Consider the following 22,129-nt stretch of genomic DNA (forward strand, 5'->3'; position numbering starts at 1 on the left):
ATTTGAAGTTGCTTTTACATCTTTTATTTCCCATTCAATTAATTATCTTTATATTCTATTTTAATATATCTTGTTAAACTAGGAACTCAGCTGACATATTGTACCAGAGTAGACTAAACTTTGATGGAGAGAAGAGATAAAATGGTGAGCAAGTAGATTTGGGGAGTCTCCTCAGACGAACTGATAATTAAATCAGAATTTCACAAAACTATAAGTTCAGTGGATAAAATGGGTGATATAGAAGAAAATAACAGAAGCCAAGAGTCTAAGAAAAGATTCCTATAGAAAGTTGCATCTGAGTTATGGTATGAGGATCAGTACTTGCAATAGGATAAATGGGGTATTTTAGGCAGCAGAAACAATATAATAATAATATCTTTACAATAACCAAAAATGTACAATTGATCAATTGTCCATATTTTCCCAAACTATGCTTCTTTATACATGTACTCAAGGCAGATTGTTTTACTTCTTATGTAGATTGGGCATTTGGCAAAAAATGTATTCAGAAGACAGCTTAGTTATCTCAAGCAGAAAATATTATAACTGAATATAGTCATACGTTTGCATGTGTATATGAAACATATCCAAGAAAAAATGTGCATCGCTTTGAAGCAAACATAATTATATTTTATTATTCTGAACTATTGAATTGTATATGTTTTCTACATGGCATTATTATCAAAGTTATTATTTCTGAGATAGGACTTAGGCATTTTAAAAATATTTATACTTTTCTAGTAGATATATAAATATTAATATAGATATAAACACAAATGTAGACATGACTACATGTAATCACATTTAAAGTCCTTAAGCACAAGTTCATAAACTTTTATCTACAGATTAATAATATATAATCGTGTCTAGTTAAGAGGAGACTTCTTGCTAAATGAGTGAATATTTTAGAAAGCAATATAAATTTATTTATATTCATCTTTCCTATATTTAAATCACTAATAATTAAAACTCAAATTCGTAAGCCAATATTCTTTAGGAAAGACAAAGTTAGACAACACTGCAAATCTACTGATAAACTGATTTATATCTTTTGCAAGATAAAATGCAAGCCTTTGATCATATGCCATCACTTGTGTACTTCCTGTTCATTAAATTCAGTCAACTCACTACCACTACGTGTGTAAATTTGGACTCTGTGATAGTGTTTAATTAAAAATACTCTAGATAAATTAATTATAGAATGGCTTTAAATAGTCAACTTTGTAAATGTTTATTATCTTCTTCCAATTCTAGATACCACAAGTCTTCATAAGAATAAGAACCATGTCAGCCTTGATCATCACAAAACCTCAACAGCTAATAGAATACAAATCATAAAATGAAGAAGTATCGAGTTAATCACTGATAGCCTGTGTACATATTATTTAATGTGTTCTTCAAAGAATGCTCTGATTTAGATAATTAAGAATCATAAACTTTCCTGGTCAGAGTCTTGAAAAATTTATATCCTTAATAACTTGGTTAAATGTATTCATAGGTGTAGGCAAAGCTAAATTTTTCTGAATAATATATTTGGTTACCAAATTTTAACACATTTAATATTGTATTTAATGTTATTTTAACTTTCCTCTCTATCACTAATACCATTACATTCAAATTTTGTTTTTTTCTGATGGAGCAAAGCTAGAGTAGAAATAAAACTGGAATTAGAGAGGGATGTGTATTTTGGTTCCGGCTCTGTCACTACCAGATGTATGATCTTGAAAAATATACAAAAGTATAACATCCTTGTGTTTTAAAGTTTAAGATTCTTTAAGTAAAACCTTGCAGTGTCATGACTCTCTTGAAATGGAACAACCTAAAAATGAATAGATTTGAACATCTCACAAAACAGTAATGCTTTAGGAGCCTTGAAAAAAAGATTTCCAGAGAAGGCTAAGAAAAATAAATGCTATTAAGTGTCTGAGAATAAGAAAAAGCTTTATCTGTCCATGTATGAAAGAGAAGGTCAATTTGAATGTCAAAAGAGTATGTACAGAAAAACAAATACATGTAACTTTCTTGAGGGGGAAAACTTCTTTTTGAATGTCCAGTCATGTATCTTTCTTGGTTTGAAACCAAACTGTAACACATATTTCATAATATTTTTTCTATATTCAACTGTAAATTCTGAAAGTGGTACACTTTTAATTTCTTATCTTCCACTGAACCTAAAAATGGACATGTGAGCAGTTTTGCTCAGTGACATATTAGCAGGTTTTGATTGTTATTCTAAAAAGGTTCTCCTTATAGAAAGACTCAATACAGTTAGCACCACTCTTTTCCTTTGACTCAAGTGTAGAAATAATGACTTAAGTCATTGCAGTAGCAATTCTGAATGCATGAACCTATAATCATGAATTAAAAACTAAGAAAACCATTACCCCATCCTGGTACTGTCAAGTCACTGGACCAACAACCATTAGCTGTCTACCTACAGAATTCTTATTATGTAAGAAAAAATGAACCCTATCTATTAAGGATAACAATTAATTGAGTTTTCTTTTACTTGTAGCTGTACCAATATGCAAACATATATTAAAACATCTTAAATCATGTGCCACTGGTAACATCTTAGATAATATCATTTTAAAACAATGCTAAGTACCATATTTTGAAATGAAATTAAAGAGGTTATCAAAAGAAAAATAAAGAACATGTTAATCTTTCAAATGTTGATACATTTAAAATATCAGAGCAAGGTGTTATAACAAATAATTTTACAAAATGTGTTTCTTAGTCATGTTGAGCTCAGTGTGTTGTTTCTTATTTTAATACTTCTAGCAGCAGTAACAACAACAAGGTGAATGGCATTGCTGAGTGGATATATATGGTTCTACATTGATAGCTCAATAATTTTGAAGATAATGGGCAATGTGAAACTTAGAAAGTAAACTGTTTTATAGTTGAAATTTAATGTTTCTTGTATATTATATGTAATGAACTTTGCAGAAAATGATACTTTTTGGGAAATATTAACTTAATCTGATAGTTTTTGTGTATATGAGATTTGTTACCAAGATTACCTCTGAAGCCATCAAGATTTCTCAGGAAAGACACCTTCATATTTCTTTTTAAGGTCACGTAACTTTCTCTCACCTTTTGATTACTTATTCTCTGGAAATACTTCTAGTTCCTTTCCATTTTTGCTTGCCAATATAATTTCCATGTGTCTAGTATTATTTTATCCCTGCTGGCAGAGAACCTAATATTAGATGTATTTAACTACTCATCCCTCAGGATAGAAATCCATATGATTTTAGTGCTGCACAAATCAGATGTTAATAAACTGAGATTTGAGATGTAAATACATTATTGTAATCTCTGTGGGAATTGTCTGAAAAAATACATATGAAACAAAATAACACAAAAACTATATTATTGTTAGTCCCATATCATTAATACTAGTATGCCAAAACTAAAACAATATAGCTATTTGTATTTTGTAAATGCAATTTCTCACCAGAAATTTAGAGGGCTAATGCCTCTACCTTCTATAAGCTCCCTGATGACTTTTGCCTTTATGTTTGGATAAAATTTATGCTGTGAAATAATTGATACTGACAGCTAATGCCAATCTTCTTTTGCTTTACATTTAAATTCACAATGGCTGTCTTTTTATGTAAATATTTTTAATGCTAAGCATATTCTAGAAATGACAGTTTTGTAACAGATATAATAATGTTATTTCTGTTAGATTACCCATACAGAAATACTTTTTTGTATATTATAGCCATGCAAACTTACTAAAGATACATTTACTGTAAAAGATAAAAATGTAAGATAACTTAAAATCTAATCTTAGGATTTAATAAATTGAAGATAAAACACATAATTTTACTTCTTATTAATTTCTTTTATAAGAGACAAATTATCTCTTGACATTTTTGCCCTGTTTGCATCTGGCAGATTATTTCAGGTTTTGGAGTATAAATATGAGGTTTCTATTTGCTTGCAGACAGAAATATGTTGCTGCACATGGGACAGATATGGATTTACCTGTATAACCAGGGGCACAGAGGCAGTTGTATCCATCAGTCCTGTAGACACAATTTTCTTCATCTAGACAAGGTGAGATTTTACATTTATTTACATCAAGTTCACAGAAGGGCCCATGGTACTCAGGTTCACAATTACAAAAAAATCTGGAGAAAAGTGGAGAAATGAGGAATAGCCATGTAACAATGATAATCATTTATTATATATGATTCATATTTATATTTTAAATTCAAGACATTCAACTTAATTGAAATAAATAATATATGTATTTCATTTTTTTCTTTGAAAAAATATAGCAATTCTCCTTGCAAAATTTTGTTCTGCTCAAATGTTCTTTATGTGTGAAATTTTGAAAAACAATGTGTTGGGTAAATAATTACTGTAACCTGATAAATACTAGTATCAAAATATAGATGAGGTCATGTCCTTTGTAGGGACATGGATGAAGCTGGAAACCATCATTCTCAGCAAACTATCACAAGGACAAAAAACCAAACACCGCATGTTCTCACTCATAGGTGGGAAGTGAACAATGAGAACACATGGACACAGGAAGGGGAACATCACACACCGGGGACTGTTGTGGGGTGGGGGGAGGGGGGAGGGATAGCATTGGGAGAGATACCTAATATTAAATGATGAGTTGATGGGTGCAGCACACCAACATGGCACATGTATACATATGTAACAAATCTGCACGTTGTGCACATGTACCCTGAAACTTAAAGTATAATAATAATAAACAAACAAAAAAAAAGAAATAATTTCCAAAGGAGATATTAAACTGATCGAAACTGTATACTTAGCAAAAATATCTCTTCATAGTTTTTCCTTTTAGAAGTCTAGATAAAGAAGCTTTAGCAACTTTCCATAAAATGTTTTTGAGCTAGATTTCTATTTAGATTTTTTAGGAAACTCTTCCTAATTAACTTCACTCATCATTTTATAACCACAGAAGTCTAACATTCCCCATGCTCCTCCTTTTACTTCTTCAACCTACATTAATTAATTGAGCGCCAGACATTAGTCATGTACCCATATTCAAGTGTAAATTAAACTAGAGCTTGCTTTTGAAAGTCTCAGGAACAGGACAGGAATACAGATATGTAAACATTACAGTAAATACATGTCAATTGAGACAGGTCCTGTTAAAGCATGGCTAGCTGCTAGACAAGAGGTGACAGAAAAGGTCTTACTCAGTATTAATAAAGAAGGAGCAGGATCAGTGTTTTAAAATTCTGAATATGAATGAAAACATGCAGTATTTTTCTTTCTGTGCCTGGCATATTTCATTTACAATAATGTCCTCCAGGATCATGTATGTTGTTACAAATAACAGGACTTCATTCTTTTTCATGGCTGAAGAGTATTTCATTGTTTATGTATACTACATATTTTTTATTCATTCATCTCTTAAGTAAAGTAAGCCAGACAGTAGGGGAGAGGGGATAGGAAAGATTGATTGATGGGTGCAAAATTACATGTAGAAAGGAAGAATAAATTTGGTGTCCTATTGCACAGTACGGTGACTGTAGTAAACAGTAAGGTATTGTATATTCAAAAGAGCTAGAGGAGAAAATTTTGAATGTTTGCACCACAAAGAAATGATGAATGTTTGAGGTGATCTCTATGCTAATTATCCTTATTCGTTCATTACAAACGAATGAACAAATGTGCTGTAATACAATGTATTATGTAGTATAATGATACAATGTATTCATGTATCAAAACAACACAACAAAACAACACATAAATATATCAATTATGTGTAAATGAAAAATAAAATTAATAGAAAAAGAAAGAGTAAGGAATCTTTGTATCAGTTGGACAGAAGGCATTAAAATGTCATGTGCAATGGGATACTGGGTGAAAGAGTAGAGTATTTCCCAAGAGCTCTTCATGTGACTAGGGAATTGACTATAATCACCTTTTTGGAGTAACACTAATCCAAATACTAACTTCTTGAATTTTTGTTCAAATAGTCAAACTGTTTTTCTCCATTGTATTCATTTTGCGAATATCTCCCCATCTAGTGAGAAGTAATGTAATGAATCTGCTAAATGTCTTACTAAAATCAAGATATGTTTGTTAATAATACTGTCTTTGCTACTTTGTGTTCTCACTGAATTAATGATGATCCCAAGGAATCACAGAATAGAGAGAAATTGGACACAGAATTCTCAGAAATAGCAGTGAAAGGTATCTCAAGAAATGATTTGTTTCATACTGACAAATTTAAAAATGTTATATTACTATAAAAACAATGACTTTCATTTCAATTTATGTATTTCTTTCATGTACTTCTGACAGTTCTATTATATTTTTAGAAGTTTCAAAATCTACTTTGTATTTTGAAATATTGAATACTAGAAAATTATTTGGTGATATCTTGCTTTTTCAGTGATTTATGATAATCACCACCAATTGTTTCAATTTTTTTTAAACAGTAGTTTACTACTTAATTTATAGAATTTTCTCTCTCTCTCATTTTGAAAATCAGAAAATCATAACATCCCTTGTCTTTTGCTCCCCAAATTTTGTTTTCGGTGATTTTCATTATCTTAAATATACTTACTTACTTGTTGCATAAGTTAATGGGAAATTTTTGTGAAATGTCTTTTTGTCATGATGAAGATGTGGGTTTTGCTGAGTATTAATTTTTTTTTGTCTGTATAGTTATCTTGAAGATACATGAAAGGATTCAGATTCTGACACCTACCCATAATTCTTGTTTTTTCAATTATGATTTCCTTCTGAATTTTGCCTTTTGAACCCTTTGTTAGTTTTTACTAAATGTTATTGTTGCGGGAAGTCAGGGACCCCAAATGGAGGGACCGACTGAAGCCATGACAGAAGAACGTGGATTGTGAAGATTTCATGGACGTTTACTAGTTCCCCAAATTAATACTTTTATAATTTCTTATGCCTGTCTTTACTGCAATCTCTAAACATAAATTGTGAAGATTTCATGGACACTTATCACTTCCCCAGTCAATACCCTTGTGATTTCCTATGCCCGTCTTTACTTTAATCTTTTAATCCTGTCAGCTGAGGAAGATGTATGTCGCCTCAGGACCTTGTGATAATTGCATTAACTGCACAAATTGTAGAGCATGTGTGTTTAAACAATATGAAATCTGGGCACCTTAATAAAAGAACAGGATAACAGCAACTGTTCAGGGAATAAGAGAGATAACCTTAAACTCTGACCGCCGGTGAGCTGGGTGGAACGGAGCCATATTTCTCTTCTTTCAAAAGCAACTGGGAGAAATATCACTGAATTCTTTTTCTCAGCAAGGAACATCCCTGGGAAAGAGAATATGCACCTGGAGGTATAGGCCTATAAATGCCCCCCCCCCCCAAGGTGTGCCCATCTCTTATGGTTGAGACTGCAGGGGTAAAATAGACCCCAGTCTCCCATAGCGCTCCCAGGCTTATTAGGAAGAGGAAATTCCTGCCTGATAAATTTTGGTCAGACCAGTTGCTCTCAAAACCCTGTCTCCTGATAAGATGTTATCAATGACAATGGTGCCCAAAACTTCATTAGCAATTTTAATTTCGTCCTGGTCCTGTGATCTCGCCCTGCCTCCATTTGCCTTGTGATATTCTATTACCTTGTAAAGTACTTGATGTCTGTAACCCACACCTATTCGCACACTTCCTCCCCTTTGAAAATCCCTAATAAAAACTTGCTGGTTTTTGCGGCTTGTGAGGCATCACGGAACCTACAGACATGTGATGTCTCCCCTGGACGCCCAGCTTTAAAATTTCCCTCTTTTGTACGCTGTCCCTTTATTTCTCAAGCCAGCTGACGCTTAAGGAAAATAGAAAAGAACCTACGTGAATATCAGGGCAGGTTCCCCGATATGTTATATTCATTTTTTTGCTTCCATGCCCATCCTTCAAATGTATTTACTCTAATTTAAGATGAACTTCTCAAAAAGTTCTGCTTTTTTGTTTGCTCTTTAACATTTATCATGTAACTTATTTTATGAATCTCAAATATGTACCTTACGCTTCTGATTTTGAAAGTGATATCACACAGTAAATAAACATACATGTATTATCTCAAGACTTATGGAAGTTTATTTTTCTAAAGTTTTTGGCATACAGACAACTATGTGAAGAATTGTTTTTAATAATATGAATCATAATGATCCTTTCTTCTAAGAATGCTTTGCTTCTACTTCAATAACCTCTCTTTCCTTTTTGCTTTCAATCAAGACCATTATTTTTTCTTACTTTCTACACTACTCCTGAAATCTGAACTTTTCAACATTGCAAAAATATGCTTTACTTTTACATAAATTCCAAACATTATTAAATTTCAAGAATCTGTTAAACCACAGATGCCTGTTCAACTGGAATGTTGGGGGTCCCTGCTTTGTTAATAATGATGCAAAAAGGCCCTGGGATTCTAGAGTCCATTTGGACATTTTCTGAATGGCATCTAAAATTTCATAGAGATTAAAAAAAAAAAAATCATCGACATTAACAGCAGCCCTGGTGAAACAGTTTACAGAAAATATTCAACTTATATTTCTTACTTTCCACCACACTAAACAATATGAGGGCAAATTTGTGCGAAAATAACATTTTACTCTACAACAGAGCAACTACCTTTAATCCTTGTCTCTGCTTTCCCAGAAAAATTTAAATGTTTTTATTTTCTCTTCCTCCTTTCCTCCCTCCACCTGCCCTGCCCTGCTCTCTTCCCGCTCCCTGTGTCTAATAGGAAGGGCAAGCACAATGCTGAGCACTTGGGACGTTTTTACTTTGCACTTAACGTTGGCCCTTCAAAACGTTAAAAAAATAAAAGTGCCTAGGGTATGTCTGAAAAGATCCTCATCAAATTTTTCCCCTCCTGGCCTCTGGCTATAGTGTGCAATTCTTTCAGCTTTGGTATTTTCCTTTCGCTATTACCTGCTGAGGGTCCCTTTATGCTAACCACCTCTAATAAGGCTAGAGAAAAATTAAATGTAAACCTGATTTTTATTAATGTCCTAAGTGATCCAGTCAAATGTACAGTCAGTACTGCATTTTATATTAAAGGTCCCTAAAGTATACCTTCCTTTGATAAAACTCAATATTCATAGCTTTTAAAATATACATATATAATAATATCTTCTATCTTGAGAGAACAATTAAGACCATGAAATATGTATTTTTGATGAAATAAAAATTTCTCATTTAAATAAAAAGCTTTTACTTCAAAAGTTTTAGAATTAAACTTAAATATATTGTCAAAGTATTGAAATAATTCATATTTTTAATTTGACATTGCCCTAAAATTTTTCAAATAGGTGTTCAAGATACTTTTTCAATCACTAAGATGCATTTTAACAGTGACTTCTGAAGAAAATTCAACATATTAAAATAGAGATAAGGAAGAGTAACTATAATTTGCATAAAATGATATCTCCAAACTATAAAAAGATGGAAAAATACAAGATAATCACATGAATTTATAGCCCCCAAATTAGCCACGATTACATTTCATTTACATTATTCTTATATACTTTTTCTTGTATTCCAGATGAGAGAGGAATTAATAAGTAGATGTATTATTTGTATGCTTCTGAAGTTATTTTAAAATATAATTATTAAATAGATTGAATAGTATTACAAAATCCAAACATAACACAGAATGTTTTAATGAGAGTTTTGATTTTAAAATGTGTTTGCAATAAAATTAAATCATACTTGTTTCAGTAGATATTTTTTAAAAGCTTACATTCAAAATAAGAAAATGAAACCACTGGTGAAACTTTCTGATAAGGACTTTTAAGCCTATGTTAAAGTAATTCAAATTTTGAAAGAATTTATAATGTATTTTAAAGCATTTCTACTTTTTTCTTGTGATATTATAACTGCATTCATGAACCACACTTCTTTACAATGAATGACAATTTTTACTTAGAATATGAATAATCTATTTTATATTTGCAACATGTCTTTATTATGTTATATATAAATATATGTCTACATTATTTATCATACTCACAACATGTCTTTATATGTTTTTATTATAATTGCATGTGGGTGTGAATCTGATTTGAAACAGTGATGTTATCGTAAATTCTCTAGTAGAATAAACATCATTCGGATTGATGACTGTTTCTAGGCAAACAATTACAGAAGAGTAAACAGATTTTTGTCTTTTGGTTAAATGCATATTAACCAATCACTTTTAAATTTGTAACAGTGAAGAATTGCTAAACCCGTGAACATCACAAACTGAATGGTCACAATATGCTTGTTGGTAATGATCTCGCTATGATAATCACATCAGCCAGGCACTTGGAACATTTTCTTCTATTTTTTCTTTAAATGCACTAGCCACTGTTATTGTAATTGTTCTTGCAAATTCTATTTAGTTGTAAATTTTCAGTAGATGGATACTATTGTGAGTGACCTAAATGAACTAGTAGCAATGACTTGAAAAGACATTAGTTGCATGGGATAACATATGCTATCAAGTGTCAGAAAAATGTAAATTCCAGTGTTCACTTTTGCAGTGGATTTGTATATTAATTGGGGCTGTCATTCATGTGCCATTATATCTCAGCAAATTCATCTTTAAATCATGTTACTAGAGGTAAGTCTTAATTGTTGCAGGCCACAGTTTCAATAACCATAAGAGAGAATAGAATAGATTAAAAACATGAATCTAACCATGAGGCATGTATGTAGTAACTACTGTTTTTAATACGTTTTTTGTTTATGTGTCTACAGTTTAATTTACTTTGAAGTAACTATAAAATTATTGCTTTTAAATGAGTTGGTAGATTACTTGAAATATTTTTAGTGAGTACTTTATCAATAGGTTAAGTTTTTCAAAAAAATAAAAATTACTTTAAGAAGAGATAAGACAATCAAATGTGACTACTTCATTTTCAGCTGCTAATTGATTTTTAATCTGTGAAAGATTTTAATTCATTGAAAATGGCTTTTATTATAATAATTTACACCAGGTAATTTTCTAAGAATAGAATAATCAACACCTGTATGCCCATCACCCATATTTAACTCATCTTAGTATTGTTTCATGTTGCTGAAATATTTTTAAGGAAAACACACAAAACATATTTGATCTGTCATATATATATATGAGATGTCATAAATATGTATGCACACACATATATGTACACACATTTCATACACATATATGTACACATATTTACACATATATGTACACACATTTCATACACATATATATGTATGAAACTCCTATGCATGCATTCAATTAATTATCCTCCATTCCTCTCTACCAGGAGAAAATTACTACTCTTAAGATGCTATGTATTTTTCAAAATATGTTTTAATACTTCACTAAATATGAGTTACATATCACATTATTCTGAGACTTATTTTTTCAGTCAATCATACATTTTAATAAATATTTAAGTGATATACTTTTATATAATTTATTCACAGTAAGTAATGTATAGATGCTTATGATTAAGTTGCATTGCATTTGTTTTGTTTTCTAATGTTTACCAATATAAAGATATTGGAAAGGCATCACCTTGTTCATATATCCTTGCTGACAGTGCTGGATGTTGCCATGGAATTGGGTTTCGTGATGTTAATTACAATAGATCTAAGAATGCATAGACTATTGGATATGCTTGACAATTAGATGCAAAATGAGCAAATAAACATATAAATCAGAGAAACAGAGTGGACATCAGTGGACTGATTCACAGATATCTATGGCAGAGGCTAACTGATGACGGGGTTTTAGAAATGAAATATATAAACAGTCTACTTACGGTGCTGCCTCATGTATATAGAATGAAATGTATAGTTCTGGAGGACAGAGACATAATTCAGTTTGGCTTTGTAGGGATTCTCTGCCTCTTTCACAATTCCAAAACCTAAGTTATGTCACAGACTCAGTCACTCGAAGGTCAGGTTTTGCCTCCTTAAGAGGAATCTTTAATAGAGTCACAGGTATTTTGTGTATCTTTTTGAAGACTTCCTCAGAGGTATCTGAGGCTATTTACCAGTATGACTGTTCTATGGTGAAAGAAAGATATTCAGACATTTTAGGAGTTGCTGAATACTGGTTCTGAAAGTATACTTATCTCTGCAATGCTACTGATCCACCAGTAGAAATATAAGATTATTGAGGTCAGTTCAGGTGAGGCCACAAATACATCTTCTCTTTGATTTTGTTTTTTTTTACCCACAATTCTTGAATATACAGTGTAGTTGATATATTTAGTAATAGGACAATTTTTACATTGGGGTAAGAGCTATTATGGAGGAAAATCCAATTGGAAGATCTTGTCATGCCCCTTTAGACCAATGGAGATTTTAAAGTGACAGCAATTCTCTATTCCTGTGGTACTTGTAGTGATTGGTGTCCCCTTGAAAGGACTGAAAGTTGCAGGGGTGGTGATTCCAAACATCCCTACTTACCTCACCAGATTGGACAATGCAAAAGCTAGAAAGGGCACAGAAAATAAGATGAATGATAGAATATTGTTGGAAAATTAAACAGGATCTGATGCAAATTTCACCAATTCTAAAGGTTGGATCTCTATGAAGATAGATAAACAGAGCTCCTGGTACCTGAGTCCAGCTATGACATAGAAAATTAATTATTTTGTGTTCTAATTAGTGAAGCTCCACTTGAATTTGTCAGAATGTCTTTTTAAAGATATTTTGAAAGACCTAAATAAATAGATATCAATTTTTCTTAAATTGGCCTACCCATTCAATGAAATTCCAATCAAAATTGCTTGTTTGAATGTATATTTATATAGAATAAAGTTGATTTTAACAGAAGAAATTGCCAAAATATCTAAAGCTGCCTGAAGATTAAATAGCCCTACTAGTATTGAGATATTTCAAAGGGAAGTAATTAAGATGTATGACACTAGCACATGGATGAGTAACTGAACTAAAGCAACAGAACAGCAATAGAGAAATAGACATATCCATATGTGGAAACGTGATCTGCAACCAAGAAGGCACTACAGATCAGTGAGTGAAAGATGAACTTAATATGTAGCAGACATGGCTTATTTATATAAAAAAATAAGAATCTGAGTTTATTTTTTAAGTGTGCAAAGAATGAGATAAGAATACTTTACACCCATACTCATACTTATACATACAATATACCTGATGCATCTACATATAAAGAACATAATCTTAATTATTTTAAAAGGAAATATAGGGAAAAAATCCTTTCATCCTAGTGTAAAGAAAAGTTAAATAAGATGAAACTTGCAAACCATATACTAAATAATAAATTAATTCAAGTATATTAAAATTAAGTTTTAGTACATATAACTTATAAAGGTGAAGTGTCTATTTCAATCAGAACTTATATTCAATAAATACAACTAACAAAGATATTTTAAAAATCATATATAAGGATTCTTACAAAGCCATAAGAAGAAAAAACATTAAAGAGCAGATGCTGACTCAGCAAGATGGCAGAATAGGAATAGCTCAGGTCTGCAGCTCCCAGAGAGACGAACGCAGAAGGCAGGTGATTTCTGCATTTCCAACTGAGGTACCCAGTTCATCTCCCTGGTACTGGTTAGACAGTGGGTACAGCCCACGGAGGGCAAGCAGATGCAGGGTGGGGCACTGCCTCACCTGGGAAGTGCAAGGGGTCAGGGGCCTCCCTCCCCTAACCAAGGGAAGCCCAGAGGGACCTTGCTGTGAGGGATGGTGCTATCTGGCACAGATACTATGCTTTTCTCATGGTCATTGAAACCCACAGACCAGGAGTTTCCCTCAGGTGCCTACACCACAAGGGCACTGGGTTTCAAGCAAAAAACTGGGTGGCCGTTTGGGCAGACATTGAGCTAGCTGCAGGAGTTGTTGTTTTTTTTTTTTTTTTTTCGTATCCCAGTGGCACCTGAAACACCAGCAAGAGAGAACCCTTCACTCCGATGGAAAGGGGTCTGAAGCCAGGGAGCCAAGTGGTCTTGCTCAGCAGATCCCACCCCCACAGAGCCCAGCAACCTAAGATCCACTGGCTTGAAATTCTCACTGCCACCACAACAGTCTGAAGTCCACCTGGGATGCTGGAGTTTAGTTGAGGGAGGGGCGTCTGCCATTATTGAGGTTTGAGTAGGGAGTTTTCCCCTCACAGTGTGAACAAAGCCGCCAGGAAGTTCAGACTGGTGGAGGGGGGGGCCACCACAGTGCCTCAAAGCTGCCGTAGACAGACCGCCTCTCTAGATACCTCCTCTCTGGGCAGGGCATCTCTGAAAGAAAGGCAGCAGCCCCACTCAGGGGCTTATAGATAAAACTCCCATCTCCCTGGGACAGAGCACCTGAGGGAAGGGGCGGCTGTTGGCACAGCTTGAGCAGACTTAAACATTCCTGCTTGCCAGCTCTGAAGAGAGCAGTGGATCACCCAGTACAGTGCTCAAGCTCTGCTAAGGGACAGACTGCCTCAAGTGGGTCCAGGGCTCCCATATCTCCTGACTGGGAGACAACTCCCAGCAGCGGTCGACAGACACCTCATACAGGAGAGCTCTGGTTGGCCTCTGGCAGGTGCTTCTCTGGGATGAAGTTCCAGAGGAAGGAGCAGGCAACAATATTTGCCTTTCTGCAGCCTCCACTGGTGATACCCAGGCAAACAGGGTCCGCAGTGGACCTCCAGCAAACTCCAGCAGACCTGCAGAAGAGGGCCTGACTGTTAGAAGGATATCTAACAGACAGAAAGCAATAGCATCAACATCAACAGAAAAGACGAACACGTGAAAACTCCCTCCGAAGGTTACCAACAGCAAAGACCAAAGGTAGACAAATCCACAAAGATGAGGAAAAATCAGTGCAAAAAGGCTGAAAATTTTAAAAACCAGAATGCCTCTTCTTCTCCAAAGGATGAAAATTTCTCACCAGCAAGGGAACAAAACTGGATGGAGAATGAGTTTGACGAATTGACAAAAGTAGGCTTTAGAAGGTGGGTAATAACAAACTCCTCTGAGCGAAAAAAGCATGTTCTAACCCAATGCAAGGAAGCTAAGAACCTTGATAAAATGTTAGAGGAATTGCTAACTAGAATAACCAGTTTAGAGAAGAACATAAATGACCTGATGGAGCTGAAAGCCACAGCACAAGAACTTTGTGAAGCACACACAAGTATCAATAGCTGAATAGATTAAGTGGAAGAAAGGATATCAGAGATTGAAGATCAACTTAGTGAAATAAAGCAAGAAGACAAGATTAGAGAAAAAAGAATGAAAAGGAACAAACAAAGTCTCCAAGAAATATGGGACTATGTGAAAAGACTAAACCTACATTTGATTGGTGTACCTGAAAGTGACAGGGAGAATGGAACCAAATTGGAAAACACACTTCAGGATATCATCTAGGAGAACTTCCCCACCTAGCAAGTCAGGCCAACATTCAAATTCAGGAAATACAGAGAACACCACAAAGATACTCCTCGAGAAAAGCAACCCCAAGGCACATAATCGTCATGTTCACCAAGGCTGAAATGAAGGAAAAAATGTTAAGGGCAGCCAGAGAGAAAGGTTGGGTTATCTACAAAGGGAGCCCATCAGACTAACAGCGGATCTTTCTGCAGAAAACCCACAAGCCAGAAGACAGTGTGGACCAATATTCACATTCTTAAAGAAAAGAATTTTCAACCCAGAATTTCATATCCAGCCAAACTGAGATTCACAAGTGAAGGAGAAATAAAATCCATTACAGCCAAGAAAATGCTGGGGGATTTTGTCACCACCAAGCCTGCCTTACAACGGCTCCTGAAGGAGGCATTAAACATGAAAGGAAAAATGGGTACCAGCCTCTGCCAAAACAAGCCAAAATGTAAAGACCATTGACACTACGAAGAAACTGCATCAACTAATGGGCAAAATAACCAGCTAGCATCATAATGACAGGATCAAATTAAACACATAACAAAATTAACTTTAAATGTAAATGGGCTAAATGCCCCAGTTAAAAGGCACAGACTGGCAAATTGTATAAAGAGTCAAGAACCATCAGTGTGCTGTATTCAGGAGATGCATCTCGTATGCAAAGACACATATAAGCTCAAAATAAAGGGATGGAAGAATATTTACCAACAAATGGAAATCAAAAATAAAAGAAATCAGGTGTTACAATCCTAGTCTCTGACAAAACAGACATTAACCAACAAAAATCAAAAAGACAAAGAAGGGCATTACATAACGGTAAAGGGATCAAGGCAACAAGAAGAGCTAACTATCCCAAATATATATGCATACAATACAGGAGCACCCAGATTAATAAAGCAAGTACTTAGAGATCTACAAAGAGACTTAGACTCCAACACAATAATAGTGAGAGACTTTAACACCCCACTGTCAATATTAGACAGATCGATGAGACAGAAAATTAACAAGGACATTCAGGACTTGAACGCAACTCTGGACCAAGTGGACCTAATAGACATCTACAGAACTCTCGACCCCAAATCAACAGAATAAACATTCTTCTTAGCACCACATAGCACTTATTCTAAAATCGACCACATAATTGAAAGTAAAACACTCCTCAGCAAATGCAAAAGAATGGAAATCATAACAGTCTCTCAGACCACAGTGCAACAAACTAGAACTCAGGATTAAGAAACTCACTCAAAACGACACAACTACATGGAAACTGAATGACCTCCTCCTGAATGACTACTGGGTAAATAACAAAATCAGGCAAGAGAAAGAAATAAAGGGTATTCAAATAGGAAGAGAGAAAGTCAGGTTATCTCTGTTTGCAAATGACAGGATTGTATATTTAGAAAACCTCATCGTCTCAGCCCAAAAACTCCTTAAGCTGATGAGCAACTTCAGCAAAATCTCAGGATACTAAATCCATGTGCAAAAGTCACAAGCATTCCTATTATAATAGACATTAATAGACAAACATTAATAGACAGAGAACCAAATCATGAGTAAACTCTCATTCATAATTGCTAAAAAGAGAATAAAATACCTAGGAATACAACTTACAAGTGATTGATGAACCTCTTCAAGGGGAACTACAAATCTCTGCTCAAGGAAATAAGAAAGGACACAAAAAAATGAAAAAAATTCCACGCTCATGGATAGGAAGAATCAATATTGTGAAAATGGCCACACCGCCCAAAGTAATTTACAGATTCAGTGCTATTCCCATCAAGCTACCATTGACTCTCTTCACATTATTAGAAAAAAAAACTACTTTAAATTTCGTATGGAACCAAAAAAGAGCCCATATACCCAAGACAATCCTAAGCAAAGGATCAAAGCTGGAGGCACAATGCTACCTGACTTCAAACTATACTATAAGGATACAGTAACCAAAACAGCATGGTGCTGGTACCGAAACAGATATATAGACCAATGGAACAGAACAGAAGCCTCAGAAATAACATCACACATCTACAACCATCTGATCTTTGACAAAGCTGACAAAAACAAGCAATGGGGAAAGGATTCCCTATTTAATAAATAGTGTTGGGAAAACTGGTTAGCCATATGCAGAACTCTGAAAATGGACCCCTTCCTTACACATTATACAAAAATTAACTCAAGATGGATTAAAGATTAAAACGTAAGATCTAAACTCATAAAAACTCTAGAAGAAAACCTAGGCAATATCATTCAGGACATAGGCAGGGGCAAAGACTTCATGACTAAAACACCAAAAGCAATGGCAACAAAAGCCAAAATTGGCAAATGGGATCGAATTAAACTAAAGAGCTTCTGCACAGCAAAAGAAACTATCATCAGAGTGAGCAGGCAACCTGCAGAATGGGAGAAAATTTTGCAATATATCCATCTGGGAAATGGCTAATATACAGAATCCACAAGGAACTTAAACAAATTTACAAGAAAAAAACAAACAATCCCATCAAAAAGTGGGCAAAGGATATGAACACACACTTTTCAAAAGAAGACATTTATGCAGGCAACAAATATATGAAAAAAAGCTCATCATCACTGGTCATTAGAGAAATACAAATCAAAACCACAATGAGATGCCATCTCATGCCAGTTAGAATGGCGATCATTAAAAAGTCAGGAAACAACAGATGCTAGAGAGATGCGGAGAAAATGTGGAGAAATAGGAATGCTTTTACACTGTTGGTGGGAGTGTAAATTAGTTCAACCATTGTGGAAGACAGTGTGGTGATTCCTCAAGGATCTAGAACTAGAAATACCATTTGAGCCAGTAATATAATTACTGGGCATATACCCAAAGGATTATAAATCATTCTACTATAAAGACACATGCACACGCATGTTTATTGCAGCACTATTAACAATAGCTAAGACTTGGAACCAACCAAAATGCCCATCAATGTTATACTGGAAAAAAAAAATGTGACACATATACACCATGAAATACTATGAGCTATAAAAAAGAATGAGTTCCTGTTCTTTGCAGGGACATGGATGAAGCTGGAAACCATCATTCTTTGCAAACTAACACAAGAACAGAAAACCAACCACTGCATGTTCTCTCTTATAAGTGGGAGTTGCCCAATGAGAACACATGGACACAGGGAGGGGAACATCACATACTGGGGCCTGTCAGGGGTTGGGGGGCAAGGGGAGGGATAGCATTAGGAGAAATACCTATGTAGTTGAGTATATATATATATATATATATAGGCAGATGCCATAATTAGGCATTTCTAAAAAGGCAAAATTAATCATCTCAAAATGTACATAAAATTGTTAAACTTCATATTATTATAAGAATGCAGGGAGACTACAATAAGATATAACTTTACACACAGCCTAAAATGGAACATTCTGAAAATGCCAATAAAAACATTTATTCCCTGCTAATAATACAAAAATTGTATTTTTCAAAAGAAATGAGAAAAATATAAATGTGATTTAGCAAATGTGACCATGTTTACCCAATGGTTCAACAATTCTACTTCTATGTATGTAACCTCGGACATACTAGTACTTGTGTATTTAGAGAAATATTTGAAAACTTTAATATCATTGTAGGTAAGACAAAAGAAGCAAATAGTCCAAATATCTATAACCAGTAGAATGATAAATGTTGGTATATATTTAATATTAAATATTGTATAAAAGTTAAAAATGAGCAACAGATACATGCATCAACAGGAATTACAAAATATTATGTTCAACAACAATTTCGGGAGACTCTACACAATATTGTTTTGCTTATAATAACATGGAAACTAAGGAGCATTTTGCTCAGGCACACATACAAATAGCACTATAAACTAACAGTAAGATTGGTAAATAAAAATTTGAGATTTTTGACATAAGTGATTGGATGGGACAAATGAGGATGTGCTGGTACAAGCACAAATGTATCAGTGGTGATCAGCTGCCTTAGTTACATAATGAGCACATGTGTGCTCACTTTCTTGTTGAATTACACACATCAAATAATTAATTTAATAAAAAGTAGCTTCTCACCTGTTTGTCAGATCCACACATGTTCCATTATTTTTGCAAGGTTCAGAGGAACATTCATTAATTTCAATTTCACACAGAGATCCAGAAAACCCAGGTCTGCAAATACACCTTTTAAACAAAAAATTTAGTAACTCCATTAGTATATATGTATAAAATCAATGCTTCAACTAATTGTAGCATGGCAAGTTTTTAATAATTATAATTGTTGCTTAATTCACCAATTAAAATTCTATACCTGTATACATCTAGACACATAAACATGTATCTAGATACTTTTTAAGTTTTCTGTACCTGAAATTGTTGACCATATCTTCACAGTCACCATAATCCTGGCAGGAAAGGAAGAGGCAGTCTTTCACATCAATTTCACAGTTTTTACCTTCAAATTCTGCAAAGAGTATGAGATGAGTATGGATGAGCAATCCTTGTTATAGAGTAAAAAAATCAGAATCAGTGGTAGTCTAAAGAATACACTCATAATGGAGGTTAAAAAAGGAAAAAGAAAATAATTACTCTCAAGCTTCTCATAAAACTCCATTTCACATAATGTGTGCATAAAAACATGCCAGTTTCTAGATTAATGAGTTTAAATGAAATATTCAAGGGAGGAATACTCCACTAAATCCCCTGAGAAGGTAGAGATGTTGCTAATGTTGCTGTTGTTTTAAGGTATTTAAATGTTTGAACAAGAAGAATTGAAATGATCTGGAAAGCAAATGAATTAATGTGATGACCAATCTTAAAGTAAAATTGAGCTTCAATGATCAAATTTATTCAAGGCAGTTAGCAGATGAAGCAAATTATTTAATTGCTTTTTATATCCAAGTGATTCAAAGAAAACAAATTATTTTGATTCACAGCTACATAATCAGTCATCCATTTAAACACATGCCAGTTATATTAAAAAAAATGAACATGAAAGAAAATTATACAGGCTGATAAACAAGACAGTTGCAATTATTTCAACACATTTGTGTCAGAAAAAACCTGCATGATATCACTTTTTAAAATACAATGAAATATATTAATATTTATAATAAACAGTTAAACAATTCTATGGTTATATATTAACTAAGTATAACAAAATATATGTGTAAAACCATTTTTCTTGTTAATATTTTTTCTGTACTAGTTCAAACATGTAAGAAACAAGATTTCCCTTTATTTTGCTTTTTCAGTGATATTACCAAGCACTAAATAAGTGCAGCCACATTACACAATATTCTAAATGTCAGTATGCAATCAGGCTAATTTAGTTTGAGGAACAAAGAGTCATTCAGGTTACTTTAAGAAAACTGTATTCATTGTTTGCATACACATAGACTGGAATTGGAACTAAGAAGCATTTAAAGGGAAGCATAGTCTAGCTACCCAGGAATAGCTGTCTTCCTTTTACAGTACATGTCCTTTATCCTTCTCATATCACTTTTTCTTCTCTTTCTATCACAAATATCTCAGCATGTTCAGTTTCAAATCACTTGTAATGTTGGCATGCGAGTGATATAGCACAGCTTTCTTGGTCTCTATGTCTATATTATGACATTTCAGCTTCAGCACCTACTGTTCAATGAAAAATTCCCTCGGTATTTTCTCACTCAGATTCCCACGATAGAACACGGAATTGACTGACCTATTTCATCTTTTCATATCATACCATGCCACAGTCAATGCCATTCTCTGTGGTGTCTACCATTGGATCAAACTGCAAACCTGCCTCCCGTTGCAATTTAACAGGGAGCTTGGTGTTACACCTTATAAAATCTGGCTGCCTCTTCGGTAGTATATAATATGGAAAACTAAAAGTTACTTAATCCAAAAGAAAACAGAAAAAGAAACAAAGTACAGATACAACAAATAGAAAACAAATAGCTAGAAGGTGTATTTACAGCCACACATATCAAAAGTTATATTAAATATGATTTTTAAAAACGCCAATTTAAAGGTAGAGGCAGACTAAATAACAGAAGAAACTACAAGATATCTAAAAGAAATTTATTTAAAACATAACAACAATGATAGGTTAACATTTAAAAGATGGAATGATCACACACTATGAAACACTAATTGTAAGTAAGCTGCCATACTTATGGGGCTAGCAGACCAGGTAGTCTTCAGGACAAGCAATATTTTTAATTTGCCTTATTTTTCTTACTCAATTCTCAGAGCCTGCAAATGAATCTCTGAAGTTACATTTTTGTAATTCGTTCATACGCTAGGTGTTGTATCCTCAGCTTTAGGAACAAAATTAAAATGAATTACTTCCAAGTTATTATGGCTCTCCTCATTTTAGGTGAGCAAGTTGTAATTGTTCCAACATGCTTCATCATTCTTCAATCGCCATTGCTGTTTTCTATATTTAGGTTGTAAATGCCATAGTACAGATATAAACAACTTAGATTCTATTTTCAAAAGATGTTTAATTCTTTAAGTATTTGATTGAGGTTAGATTTTTCACAAGTTAAAAATTGAGAAAGTTGAGTGTATTTCACCATTTCTACTTTAAGTCTGGTTAGTTTTCTCTGGGAGGCAGGGCATTTTGACACTAAAATGATTCTTAGAAATGTTCTTTTGAGGCAGTGGAACTCAGGGGCACTGACTGGCTATAAAGAAGCACCAGTGAGCCTCCATGATTTCAGCTGTGCTGATGAATCAGAACACTCAGGGCCCAGGACCTTGGGTAGCTCACAGGATAACCTTGTTTCCTGTGATTTTGT

The 22,129-nt window shown here is 33.8% G+C and overlaps 1 protein-coding gene across 2 annotated transcripts in view; it reads right to left on the reverse strand.

Moving 5' to 3' along the window:
- Positions 1–22,129, reverse strand: part of EYS (eyes shut homolog) — a 1,987,247-nt gene that overhangs the window by 1,162,718 nt on the left and 802,400 nt on the right. For both annotated transcript variants that reach the window (NM_001142800.2, NM_001292009.2), the window contains exons 17-19: positions 19,707–19,803; positions 19,416–19,523; positions 4,000–4,145 (exon numbers count right to left, since the gene is read on the reverse strand). In NM_001142800.2, the coding sequence (NP_001136272.1) occupies positions 4,000–4,145; positions 19,416–19,523; positions 19,707–19,803 (351 nt within the window). The remainder of the gene's footprint in view (positions 1–3,999; positions 4,146–19,415; positions 19,524–19,706; positions 19,804–22,129) is intronic.

This window comes from Homo sapiens, chromosome 6 (assembly GCF_000001405.40).
Source record: "Homo sapiens chromosome 6, GRCh38.p14 Primary Assembly".
Taxonomy (NCBI): Eukaryota; Metazoa; Chordata; class Mammalia; order Primates; family Hominidae; genus Homo; species Homo sapiens.